Genomic DNA, 14,396 nt, shown 5'->3' on the forward strand with positions numbered 1-14,396 from the left:
TAGTTCAGGATTGCTTTTATAATGTCACCAAACTCCCTCTCTTGTTTTCACGCCTTTAAAATATGGTGGTTTGCTTTCTGTCTTGGCTCTCTTTCTCTTCTTTACTTTTATCTATATCTTCTTTCTCTTTTGTCCCTGTTGACTTTTTCCTGTCCATTGCTGAATCCACTGCCAGCTGTTTCTCCTCAGTGTAGTGTCCTCTTTTGGAAAAGAGCCCTGGCTGGTTAGTGTGAGAGTTTGGAGGTGCTCAGGCTGCTTGAGACATTGTGGAGCTGACCTTTGGCTCTTACATGCCTCTGTTATTGTTTTGGACATAATCACTCAGCTGCTGTTATCTGTTGGCCACTGTGCCTTCCTGCAAACACTCATTGGACATGGATGTTCTCCTGTTCTCAGGTCATTCCCTGGCCTTTTTGTTTCACTCTGTTTTCTCCTCATAGTCACTGATATGTAGGTTTTGTGGCTGTTAGTGGTTTATTACTACTTACTTGTATTTTGGAGTTTGGGATACTTTGTTAGCAATTGTAAATTTGCTTCTGTGTTTTGGGTTTTGCTACCTCGTTGATCTATCTAATTTGACTGCTTGATCTATCAACAAGATAGCAAAATGATATATTTCAGAAATTATTTCAGGGATTATTCAGAGAGATAAAAACTATGCTGCCACCACCACCAATAGCTTTAGGTTAAAATATTTTAATTTTCCTGAGGCTAGAAATTATTTGCTATTTTTCCAGTGTATGTGGTAAAAGCTTTCCTTTATACATTTTTCAGTTTTCAAGAGCTGCTGGGTACTGATTTCTGTGGGCTAGCCTACTCGGGGCTGTAGGGGAAAATTGGGAAGAGAGTTCGTGGCATTTCCATGTGGGCATTTCTGCTTCTCTGGGTTGCTGTCTGGAATTGGATGTGTGGATCATGCTTATGTGCTTAGAAGGAAACATTCTACTTCTGAATAGTCTAAAAACTTTGAGGACCACACTGAGTCTTTGTGCTTTCTTCTTTTATATTGCCTATGATAGCATGTGCCATTCTTATTTTGTGGTTCAATCAGAAATGAAAATGCCTTCTGTATTTTTAATTTGTTCAGATGTGAGTGTACAGTGTCTATAATAATCTCGTGGATTTGTAAAACACTTTAGGATTTGAAAACTACTTTTGCATCCATGCTTCCAGGGAAGCTCATAAACTAGTTGTGAAATTGACTCCAGTGCTATTCATATTTCCATTATTTTATAGCTAAGAAACTAACCAACAGAGACTAAGTCACTTGTCCAGTGTCACACATCTAACAAGTAGGAGAAATACAACTAGAACTAGTGTTTTCTGATTCTCAAACCAGCAATTTATTCACATAGAATTTTTGGGTCTCTTTTATTATGACAGAAGCATGCTTGCAACGTGACATCTGATTGCATTTATCATAAAAACCATTTTATCCAGGTATTCCATATGTTCAGTAAACACCAAAACCATGTAACAGCAAAGGAATTAAATGTGCCAGGATAATTTCACATCTCATTACCTGACGTTTTTTGTACTTAAGAGCCACCCATTAAACATTTTTGAAACTCTTAGTATTCAGCTTAACTCTGGAAAGTTATTTATAGAGAAGTACTCTGCAAACAACAACAAAAATGCAATAATCTAAACTCTTTTATTTCCTTATTTCAGTGGCTAAGCAGAAGTGCTTGCACTGAGCTTGTGTTTTTTCGGGCATACCTTAACTTATGCAGAGCTAATGGGTCCCCTTTGGGTTTCTGTTCTTGGTGTATTTGACTAAGAGGAGGCTTTATCCTGGGTAAACGATGCAGATTGCTATGCTTGAAAACTTTATTTGATGTGTCTGTGATTTTATAATGAAGAGATCATTTTATAACCAGGCTTCTGCCTTTATAGGGATATTTCTTTGCTTCACAGTATGGTTTTATTGTCACATTCTACTAGTGCAGGGATTCAGAGTGTCAGAGCTTATCATACCTCTTAGAAATCGAGTCAAACGTTCCCTCCCTGCTCACTGCATAGGTAAGGAGATAGAGCTCTAGAGGCTGTGGCTTTCTCACATACCTTATTATTTTCTGTACTAAAGGCTTCTCACACTTCTCCTTTCCTTATGTACACCCAGCCTTAAGAGATACTAGGCCCTCAGTGTCCTAACCTCGCTGATCTTCATATTTTTCCAGTTTCATTTTTACCACTATTGGCTCTCCAATGTCTAGGCTTTATTCAGGATAAAATAATTTCAAACCCAAGAAAATGCCATGTTCTCTCACCTTAGGACCTTGGCATGTTCTGTTTCCTCAGTCTCAAAAAGCATCCTTCATCACTTTTACCTGACTTCAATATGAACTTTCATTATCAGTTGACTGCACTTCCCCCTAGGAAGCTTTACTCGAACATCACAGTTTATTTTAGGTGCCTCTTCCAATTGCTACCGTTGATCCCAAATGTCTCACATCACACACATCATACCACCTGTCATGTGACATTATAATGAATTCTGTTACTTGTCAGTATCCTACAGTAGACTGAAAGCTCCAAGAAAACAAGAACCATGTCTGTCTAATTAACTGTTAAGTAGTGGGTGTCTACCTAACACAATGTGTGCAGTAAAGAGTAAATAATTACTAAATGAATGATTGACTTTGTTCATACTTTTATTGCCTTATACCTGTATGTACACACACACACACACACACACACACACACACAGACTGCAAGTCTCTAACCTTAAGTATTTTTTCATGACTCCTTATTTTTATACATATTATCTTCAATTTCTGCATCAAATAAAACTTCTTTTCCTTTCTCAAGGTCCTGCACTAATTGAGGCCCTCCCTACTCCACCATTCTGATTCCTTATAAACATTATTGCTTGCCATTTATTGGATTATTGTAACTGTGTAATTATTTCATTATAGGAATATTAATGTTCAGATACAGAAGGAGTTTGGTAATCAAATTTGGCAGACCAATCTAGCTTATTCTGGAAATGCTACATTTACCCTACATTTCCTCTCAAATTAATTTAATTCCCAGATTTTTAGTTTTATTCATTAGCTCAATGAAGACCTGATGGGGATTTCTACTAATGTGATACCTTGCCCTGCCTTTTTAAGGCATACTATAAATTAGCAACTTGTAAATTTAATGTAGAACTCAAGGTTCTACGAATGTCTGTCCTCCATGCTTCTGATGTTGGAAGCTTGAAAGCACTTAGCCTAAGCCCTTGTGGAAGACAATAGATCAGTGGTATTATCTGAAATTTTGCTCATACTTCTTTGTTCAGATAACTTTGGTTATCAGTGAACGAAAGGAAAACTGTTTTGAAGACATTGAATTTTACTGCACATATTCCAACATGCTACGCAGAAGTGTGGAGGGTTTAACAAAGGAAAAACAGAGATGGATGCTTTTCTGAGGAGAATTTGATATTGATTTTCTTGATCCTCTGTAGTATAAAGTTACAGTTCATGTTAGTCACCAGAATTCTATTTTGTTAGCTCTTTTACCTCTTTATTAAAATAAAGTTTGAGCTCAAATACTTTCATAAGGCATTCTTCTTTATATTAGCAGGATTGGATTTAACTAAAGGCTGTTTTAAGAAACAATGTTTCCTTTTATATTAATTGTCGTTTTTGGAACAGACTATCAATTATGCTGTTTTAACATATTAGCTACTCATAGAATATGCTTTGTGTTTTTATACAGAGCTTTGTTTAACATCCTGTTAAATAACTTATTTACACTGGTGTAAATAACTTATTTACACCAAAATATTGGGGTTTCTTTTAAAATATTTTATTATTGAATGTAATTAAATATGTATATGAGTAGAGCAGATTAAATCATTTTTAATGATTAATTGCTGGTTTTGTTGTTACTTTATAAATCTAACAAGGATCATTTAAAAGTTTGTGTAAATGTTATCTTTTTTATTTGTATTTTGTGATGTTTATAGAAATATAAAACCGACTTTGTTTCTTTGTGACTTCTCAGTAAAAATCCAGTTTGTATTAGAGCAGTGATTATTCTGGCATTTTTCTCTGCAGTTTTTGCCAATTGTTGATTAATAATTAGTTTTACTAGTTATGAAAGACCCTATATTATTTAAATGTGACTAGTATTTTTTTTCAGAGTCAAGCTGAAGTATTGTTATTTTGAGTGTACAGAAACAGGTGCTATTAATTTGCAAGTATACTAATAGGTTTACTAATAGTATCCTCCTACATTCAAGTGTATTTAAAAATTTTAAACATGTAATGCTTTATACATTGTTTGTTATAACATTTTCTGCATTGTTCTGTGTTGGTCTTCCATTCCACAGTAAGCTACTTGGGAGGAGAAACCCCATCTCATTCTTTTTTGTATCACCAAAACTTACTGCATGTTCTTGTACACATTAAACATTCAATAAATCTTTGACAAATTAATGATATTAATTTAGTGAATTATATTTGTTGTGGAGTATTTATATGGAAGAACAAAGCTAAGCAAATTGGTTATCTAATTCCTCCTGGGAACTTTGTCTACTATGCTGTACTGGACACTCTATCTACTGTTTACCTTACTCTCTGCCCTGGAAAGGTGAACTGAATGAACACATCAACAGGACTTCTAGCTCACTGGCTTTTGGTCGAGTTTGGCCCATGGAGAGTTGTGGCAGGAGATCAGAGTGAGGGCAGAAAGTGAGGTTGGGGTGTGTATTCCCTTGGCTTCTCCCTGGAGATTGCCTATTTCTTGCTGTGTCATGTACCTGAAAGTTCCTCTTTCTCTCCAAACATGCCATTCTACATGGCTCTCCAAACTGGTCCTGGAAAACTCTCCCTCCTCTGGTTGTCCCTTTGGACCTTGGGGTGGTAACACCTTAGCTGCTGGTAACCCTGTATTCTTCCTCTATTCCCTTAGTGAATAGTCCTTTCATAAATAAACTCTTCTCGAAGTGTACTAATTTGACTGTGCCATCTGTTGTCATTACAACCTCAACTGATAAATGAATCTTATTGTAATTTTTTAAAAATCTTATTCTTCTGTTAAATGCTCTATTAGTAGAACTTAATTTCTACAAAAGCAATCACAATCTATAAATTTGATGTAACTGAAGTGTTTTTGGTGGCATAAAACAAGCATATCAATCTTTTGAAGAAAATTATGTCTTTAATCCAGGTACTTAATTCCACCACAAAGTGGATTAAAACCATTTAAAAATTAAAACATTCATTACTTGAATAAAAAACTGAATATACACTGTGTGCGAGGAGCTATAGATACAAGAATGAAGAAAATTCATAATCAAACACAAAATGCTCATATCTTAGTGTGAGAGACTAGTATATCAATGAATAAAAACTATATAAAGATCTATATTATCTTCAAGGCACATATTTAAAATATTATCATAATACAAATGATTTTTCCTAGGGAACTATTGTGGATCATTTCTCAGATTGAAAATTTTCATTACAAAACTTACTATATGCTAGGTTAAATAAATGTGAATATATTCCTAATATATGCTGGGTAGTATTCTAAGTATTCTACAAATACTTATTTAATTCTCCTTCTTAACTCCTTTTAATTTTTTCCATCTTATGAAGTAAATAATACTAATTTCCCATTTTATGTATGAGGAAATGGAGGCACAAGGAAGCTAAGGAACTTGTCCAAACAAATACAGCTACTAATTAATATAGCTGAGATTCAAGTCCAGGCAATAATGTTCTAGAGGCCATGTTCTTGGTCACTGTGCTGTGCTAATGCTTTCATAGAGTCACACCTGTAGGATGCCACACTGCTTCCTACACTCCTTATTCATCCTTCCCCCTGCAAGAATAAATCCATAACTGATTGGTGAGTTTAATAGAAGAATCCAAGTTTGCATGGGTCTCTGTATTAGTTTGTTCTCACACTGCTGTAAATAAATACCTGAGATTGGGCAATTTAGAAAGGAAAGGAGTTAAATTTACTCACAGTTCTGCATGGCTGGGGAAGCCTCGGGAAACTTACAATCATGACAGAAGGGAAAGCAAACACATCCTTCTTCACAAGGCAGCAGGAGAGAGAAGTGAGAGGAGCGAAAGGGGAAAAGCTCCTTATAAAACCATCAGATCTCATCAGAATTCACTCACTATCACAAGAACAGCAAGGGGGAAACTGCCCCTATGATTCAATTATCTCCACCTGGTCTCTCCCTTGACATGTGGGGATTATGGGGATTACAATGCAAGATGAGATTTTGGGTGGGAAACAGCCAAACCATATCAGTTACATCTCTCTTTCCTTTGGTTATCTGCCTACCAAAAGGAAGGGTGAAATTTCATTTCTCTCTCTGCTGTGAAAGATGGTTAGTAGTAGGTAGGGGAAGGTGTAGTCTGAGATTATCTTCCTATACACTGGTAGTGTAACGAATTCAGGGGAAGTAAGCCTGCTGCTGTTGTTGACTTAAGCCATGTGTCTACAATCAATGTTATCAGGAATAAATATATTTCTCCATCTGCCTGGTTATTGTATCTATCTCTGAAAGGGTTTTCCAATTCAGACAGAGAAGAGAGGGAGGCTATATATTTACCTTCTGAAACCCCAACTGCCAACCAGTGAGGAAGAGAGGAAGAACATTCCAGGCAGAATAGAATGCTCTTATTCCAGAATGGCTTAGCTTATTTGAATGTTATACGAAGTTGACATGTTCATTCCTTTGTAGCTCACTACTAGGTGAAGATCAGATTGAGATGAAACTTGAAGTTTTTAACCTCGCTCTTATATTTTGTAACACATATTTTATAAGTGTAACCTGTAGGGAGTCACTGGTAAGAGCCATTTTTAGAAGAGGATAAGATTAGAGAAAGAATGCAAGAAAAATAAATGGACAATAGTGCAAAATACAGCAGAGGGGTTGAATGAAAAAATGACTGTTCATTGGTGTTGGCAGTAGGGAGGCCTTTGGTGATATTCTTGAGAACAGCTTCAGGAATAAAACCCTAATTTTATATTATACAAGTATAATAGTTTGAATAATAAATTATATAATATAATAATAATCTAATAATTATAATAGTTTATAATAATTATAATACTTTGAACAATAAGTGAGAGGTGAGAGAAAAGGCAGATGGAGAGTAGACTTCTTTGAGGAAGCTTAGATGGGAGGGAGAGAAGAGGAAATTTTAAGTAGCTACAGGGGAACAAAAATAACTTGGTATTTGTTGTTTGTTTTGCCTTTTTAAAAAAATATTAAATAAATGTGAATATATTCCTAAGCAATAGAGAAAGCCAGAAGCAATGTTGAAAAGATTAGAACAAGAGAAAAGAAGAACTAAACTCTGGATCAACAGAAGGAGGCTGAGTCTTGTGCTGGGACAAAACCCTCTCCCTGTGGTCTGCAGGAAAGAGAGGCAGGTGGTGTGGATGCACACCTGCATCCCTAACCCAGTAATTATTAACTTGTCAGACTCTTCTCCAGTGCAGCTCACAAGCTGAACACACTATACATACTTTTAAGTGTTGAGATGGAACTTGAATCCTTGCTTGAAGAATATGTAATAAGTATTATTCCTCACAATTTAAACCCATGTCATGTTGTAAATCTCCACTTGCTCTCCCTCCAGGATTTAAAAAGAAATGTCTTTGTGTTTTCTGGATGCTTTTTTCTTTTTTAGAAAAAAAATTCAATAGTTTTTGAGGGTACAGGTGATTTTTAGTTACGTATATGAGTTCTATAGTGGTGAATTCTGAGATTTTAGTGCAGCTGTCAGCTGAGCAGTGTACAGTGTAGCCAATATGTAATATTTTGTTTCTTTCTGAATATGATGGCTTTGCATAGTGGCTCTCGAAGTGATCACAGTGAGGATGGCAAGTAGGGGGTGAGGTCTCATCAGTACATGTCTTTGAAATTGCTTTCCATGACTTCCGTAGTGAAGAGCTATTGACTTGGAAGCTTCCACAATTAAGAATTTCTTTTCCTCTCCATGATAGGCCTAATTTTGATCTATTCTCAATCCAAGACAATTTAGATACTATCCATGGTGACTATAGTCACCCTGTTGTACCATCAAATAGTAGGTCTTATTCATTCTTTCTAACTATTTTTGTACCCATTAGCCATCTTCCCCACCCAACTCCCTACTACCCTTCTCAGCCTCTGGTAACCATTCTTCTACTCTTTGTGTCCATGAGTTCAATTGTTTTGATTTTGTATCCTACAAGTAAGTGAAAACATGAAATGTTTATCTTTCTCTACCTGGCTTATTTCACTTAACATAATGATTTCCAGTTCCATGTGTGTTGTTGCAAATGACAGTATCTCATTCTTTTTTATGGCTGAATAGTCCATTGTGTATATGTACCCCATTTTTTCCCTTTCATCTGTTGATTAACACTTAAGTAGCTTCCAAATCTTAGCTATTATAAACAGTGTTCCAAAAAACATTGGAGTGCAGGCATCTCTTCAATATACTGATTTGCTTTCTTTTGTGTATATGCCAAGCAGTGGGATTGTTGGATCATATAGTAGCTCTATTGTTAGTTTTTTGCGGAACCTCCAAACTGTTCTCTATAGTGGTTTTACTAATTTAGATTACCATCAACAGAATACAATGATTCCCTTTTCTCCACATCCTCTCCAACATTTGTTATTGCCTGTCTTTCAAATACAAGCCATTTTAACTGTGGAGAGATGATATCTCATTGTAGTTTTGATTTGCATTTCTCTGATGATCAATAATGTTGAGCATCTTTTCATATGCCTGTTTGCCATTTGTGTATCTTCTTTTGAGAAATGTCTATTCAAATCTTTTGCCCATTTAAAAATTGGATCATTAAATCATTTTCCTGTAGAGTTGTTTGAGCTTCTTATCTATTCTGGCTATTAATCCCTTGTCAGATGGGTAATTTGCAAATATTTTGTCCCATTCTTTGGGTTTTCTCTTCACTTTGTTGATTGTTTCCTTAGCTGTGCAGAAGTTTTTTTAACTTGACATGATCTTATTGGTCCATGTTTGCTTTGGTTTCCTGTGCTTGTGGGGTATTAGGGCCACATTTTGGAACCTCTGGAAGAGTTGGTGGGACTATGGTGACCTCATGATGCTCACTGAATCTTGTTTCATGTAACATGAGATCACTATCTTCTTTCTCACAGTTGTAGCATAGGTAACAGGTATATTTTTATTTTGTCATAGAAACATAGAAAGCTAGTTGCTAGACTCTCCCTAAAATCTCCCAATCAAGAGATTGTTTAGGGACTTCATTTTCTTTTACTTCAGCATATTTTATCTTCTAGGAGAGGGACACATGGTTGTATAGCCTAAGGTCAAAGGAAAAGAGTTTCAGACTATTAATTACATCTGCTTCCCAGAAGGGTTACCCACTGATATTGAAGGGCCCTAAAGAGCTTTTTTTTTTATTATTTACTTAAATCACCTGGTACTTGGATGTGCTTATGGGTCTTTTCTGAACAGTCCTCAATGCTCCACTTTAGCAAGCCATCTCTGGGTCATAGCCTTTCAGCTTGCTTTTGTGTATATTATAAACATACATATATAATGGAAACATACTGTCTTTGTGTGCTGGTATGAGACCAGGAGGAAGGCCTCTGTGTCTTGCTGGTATTCTTTCCCAAACAGTTACCACACTGTTATTTGTCTTTACTGTAATGCCTCATTTCTATTTAAGAAACAAATGAATATACTGTTGTCACAGGATCCTTGGGGTGTCACTTCTCTAGCCAGAAACCTCTGTTGTTGAGGGTACCTTCTGCTTGAATATTGCTTGTGCCCACTGAGCTTGTTCTGCCCACTCAGCCTGGCAGGCTGTGCTCAGCTTGCACTACCGGCCTGGATCCCACACTTGCCATTGGTGAGCCAGGCATGAAGCAGTGAGGGGTGTGTGGGTGAGCGAGTGTGGGGTCCAGCCACTGTGCAGAGCCAGCCACGCCAGCTGCTGTGACAGGGCAGGCAGCTCAAGGTGCTGGGCACAGGTGTCAGCTCTGTGCGAGGCTGCAACTGGACCAAATGTACCACATGTGGTTTCTGCTGCAGGCACCTGTGTCTGGACAAGGGAAATGCAGTGGCACCCAGAAGCTTGGAGATACCAGAAACTGCAGAGCTACAGAGGGTGCCACAGCCCCGGCATGGGGAGCCCCTAGGTCTGGGGTCCCTATAGGGCTGCAGCTCTTCCCTCCTTCTTGTCGCCTACAGCATGGTGAGTGGGGGTATGCGTTTCAGCCCTGTTTGTGTTACAGCTCTTTTAGTCCTGCCATTTGGTGGGTCCTGAGTTGTTGTCCCACATCCAGGAAAAGGAGGCATGTGGACAACTGGAGGGTGAACAAGGTGGCAGGAGCTTCACTGAGCTACAGAACAGCTCTCAGGAGACTCATAGTGGGTAGCTCCTTTCCACAGGCAGCTTGTCCTGATGAGTGTCCAGCTCTTAGTGGAGAGGAGACCCTCAGTAGTTAGCTCCTTTCTGCAGGCAGTTCGTCTGGATGAGTCCAGGAGACCCAAAGTAGATCGTTACCTCCTGCAGCTGGTAGTCTGGAGTCTGTTAGAGTCTGGCTGAGTCCAGGGTTTTTATGGTCTCAGAGGGAAGACGCGCCTGCTGATTGGTCCATGCGCGGCCATGAGCAGGCTGGAAAAAGTACTATAAATCCTAACTCCTGGCAACTGACTCCAGGCTTGGAGCCTGAACCCCAGGCTTCAGACTGTCCCTGGCTTGAAGGTGGGGTTTTACCAGGGACCCACCCCTTTCTGCTCAGGAACCTATCATCTGCCTCCCACCATCAACATGTCATCCAGGGCATGCAGGCTGTTAATGCCAAGGGGCACCTGCAGGCCTGTGCTGAGCCTCCCTCAGCCCTGCTGGCTTCCCTCTCAGTTGTCAGCACCCAAAGTTAGAAGAGGAGGTGAGGCAGCAGGGGGCTGTTGTATTAGTGCCACTCAAGCGCATGCACACCTGGCGGGTTGCAGTAGTGCCTGGGCTCAACCACATCTTTGCTCTGCACTGGAGTGGGCACTGGGAACAGGGAGTGGGAGCAGGCACTTCTGTGCCTATGGGGACAGGGTCTTCCCAGTCCCTGGAGAGTACAGGGATCCCGGGGTCCAGAGCTGTGGCTGGGCAGCTGTAGTTGTACCTGGGAGCATGAGGTTACCACCCCACCAGCTTGGTAGGGGTCAGGGTTCCCACCTGTTCCTGGCCCCAGCTAGCTCCACGGAGTGTGCAGCCCCAGCCACGTGTCCCCCGCTGCAGCTGACATCCCACAGTGGCCTCTCCAGATGTGCTGCTGCTGCCATCACTGTTGACTTTTAACACTAGGTTTATTAATCTGAAAACCAGTAGGCCTTATTTAGAGGCTTTCTTGCCTCTGACTACCCTCATTCTCTCTAACCCCCATCCAAGTTGCCAGTAACCAAAAGGCAAATAGATGGCAAGTAGATAAATTGTAAGTGATTAATTTTGTATGACATCTTTATTTTAGTCATGTTATTACCTGATGGCTATTACATGTAGGCTTCACACTCTTAAAAATGTCAGCATCTTGGTTTCTTTTATAATCTTTTATAAAAGTATCAGACTACAAGGGGTCTCAAGATTTTTATTCTTATTTCTACCACTCTTCAATGTATAATACTGTCACATTTGAGCCAATAAGAATTTCTTGAAAAACTTTGGATATATAAGGGCCAGGTTTTAGTTAAACCTCAATTTACTTCTCTCAGTTTAAATAGAGAGAAAATAATATCTCTAGAATTCAAAATTATGCTAGTAATATGTTATTTCCTTGGATTTTGCAAATGAGTGCTTATTTTGTCCCACATATTTTACTCAGGATTGCAAAACGAAAATATTCAAATATTAAATAACATATTACTAGTAAGTTATTATTTTAGAAAGTAGTACCTAATTTTTACATCGGATCTCTTTTTTATCTTAAAAAATTTTTTTTTAGCAAGAACAACAAACCAGGTAAATCCATGCTTTATTACTTATACACATAGACATACTTGTTTATGCACGTGTCTAGATATGGAATTTATATCATTCTAGACATGGAATTATATCTAGATTTTCCTAGAGGAACCGTGAATGTCTCCCCCAAAGGTCACATGTTGGAAACTTAATCCTCAATGTTACAGTGTTGAGAGGTGGGACTTTAAAAGATAATTGGGTCATGAGGGTAGAGTGTACTAATGCTGTCATTGCAGGAGAGGGTTAGTGATTACAGGTGTGAGTTCCTAATAAAAGGATGAGTCTAGACCCCCTCCCCCCTCTCTCTCATGAATTTTCTTTTGCCCTTCCACCTTCCACCTTCTAGCATGGGATGGTGTAGCAAGAAGGCCCTCTCAAGATAGAGACCCTTTGACCTGGGTCTTCTCAGCCTCTAGAACTGTAAGAAACAAAATCTTGTTCTATATAAATTATCCAGTGTGTGATATTCTGTTATTACAATACAAAATGACTAAGACAAAGCCATACAAAATGACTAAGACAAAGCCTTACAAAAAAGTTAAATTTTTCTGGGTTTTGGTTGGATTTCTGCTGTCAGTCACAGATTTATTCTCCAGAGAATAAATATGTTTTCCCCTCAACCTGCAGGTGTCCTTTTCTCTTATGTAAACCTTAAAATGAAAGCTTCAGATGGTACTTTTAAGAACATTCTTAGTGTTTTAAAAAAATCAATGTTGTACAGATTTAAGATGCAGTTGACACTTTGGCTCCATCAGAGAACCGACAGCAGAAAGGTATCAATTTTACTTGTTCAGTCAGAGACACTGCAAAATGAAAAATTGCCTTTCCAGTTCTACTGTGAATTTGTGAATATAAAATGGCCTTCAAAGGAGGGAAGCTACTTGTCTTCATTTAACAACTGATGTCTCAGGATTATATGAATTTGTTATTCTGCTTGAAATAAATTTTCAAAGTATCTCTGTGGTTAGAAATCAGTTACAGAAATTCTGCCTGATTATTTTTCTTTCTCTTTAGTTAGGAGAAACACTAAATGAACTCTAATAGCTGCATAGCAAGAGCCAATAAATAATATGACTATAATTCACATTTTCTTTACTCAACCTTTATTTTACCTCAGTAGCAACCTGCTTAACATTTAACCTACTCCTTAACCTATTTCTATCTTTTCTTTTGCTAAGAATACAGATTTTTGGTGATTATGAGGCCACTCTTTGCTTCTTTAACAATTTCTGTATCTGGTTGCCAGGCCATGTTGCCTGAATCTCAAAAGCATTTGAAGGGCTAAGAAATCTATAAGATGGAAAGCACCATTTTCTTGCTTGCTATCAAAATAATTAACTTGCATGGTTTAAACACTGTATTTTACTCTTATTTATTGCAAGGAATAAACATGATGAAATATATTTCATCATTATTCCATTAGCATTACAACAATTATTTGCTTGCAAACATTAACTTTTTTTTTGGATCAGCAAAATGAAAATTCTATGCTTTCTAGAAGGCTTGTTGTTTCGAGATTAGTTTTACAATGTATCATTATGGAAGTTTTGGCAGTTACAGGCTCAAATAGCCAGATATAATAATATTTGGGCAGACTTTACTATGCCCAAATATTTGTGTTTGTGTAAAAAAATTGTGTTTGTGTAAATATTTAGATCATGACTTTGAGAATATAGCAAAATTGAAGTGACTGTATTGATATAAATCTGGGTTACTTATGGAATGTTTCTGGTTTGTTTTGTGTTGATTTCCTTGTATCTTTAGCTATAAAGTATAACAGAACTTCCAATATGGGACACAGTCCTGAGAATTACTATTCAGATCTAATACACAATGTACCCAATGTATTGTATGTTTTACTTATTGCAATTTTTCTGCATTTCTAATAAATAGTCCCTCACTTGATGATTTCCTAGCATGAGGCAACTCAAAAAGATAAATCCTTGCAAATAATGTTAACCCCACAAATCAGCAAAGCATCAGTAAAATAATATATTTTCATTCTTTCCCAGCTAAATATATATATATATATCCATCCTCACAAGAACAGTTACATTAGTGTGTAAAAGACATGGTTTTGAGATAAGTCAGCTGCTATCTGGAAAAATAATAAAATTGATTCCATACTTCATACCAGAATAAATCATAAATAGATTAAATATTTACATTAAAATATGATACTCTAAAAATGCATGAAGAAATCATGAAGTAAATATGTTTTACTTATTGTAGGAAATTATAGGAAAGGTTATTGTAGGAAAAGTTTCTCTAACAATGTAAAACTCAGAATACCAAAAGAAAATATTGACAAATTCTATCATATACAAATCAAAAATGTCATATGGCAAATCTGACATAAGAAAATGCAAAATACAAATAAGTGTAATACATTATTTGCAAGTCATACTATGAGAAAAGGATTAATTTTCTTAATATTAACAGCC

This window comes from Homo sapiens, chromosome 5 (assembly GCF_000001405.40).
Source record: "Homo sapiens chromosome 5, GRCh38.p14 Primary Assembly".
Taxonomy (NCBI): domain Eukaryota; kingdom Metazoa; phylum Chordata; class Mammalia; order Primates; family Hominidae; genus Homo; species Homo sapiens.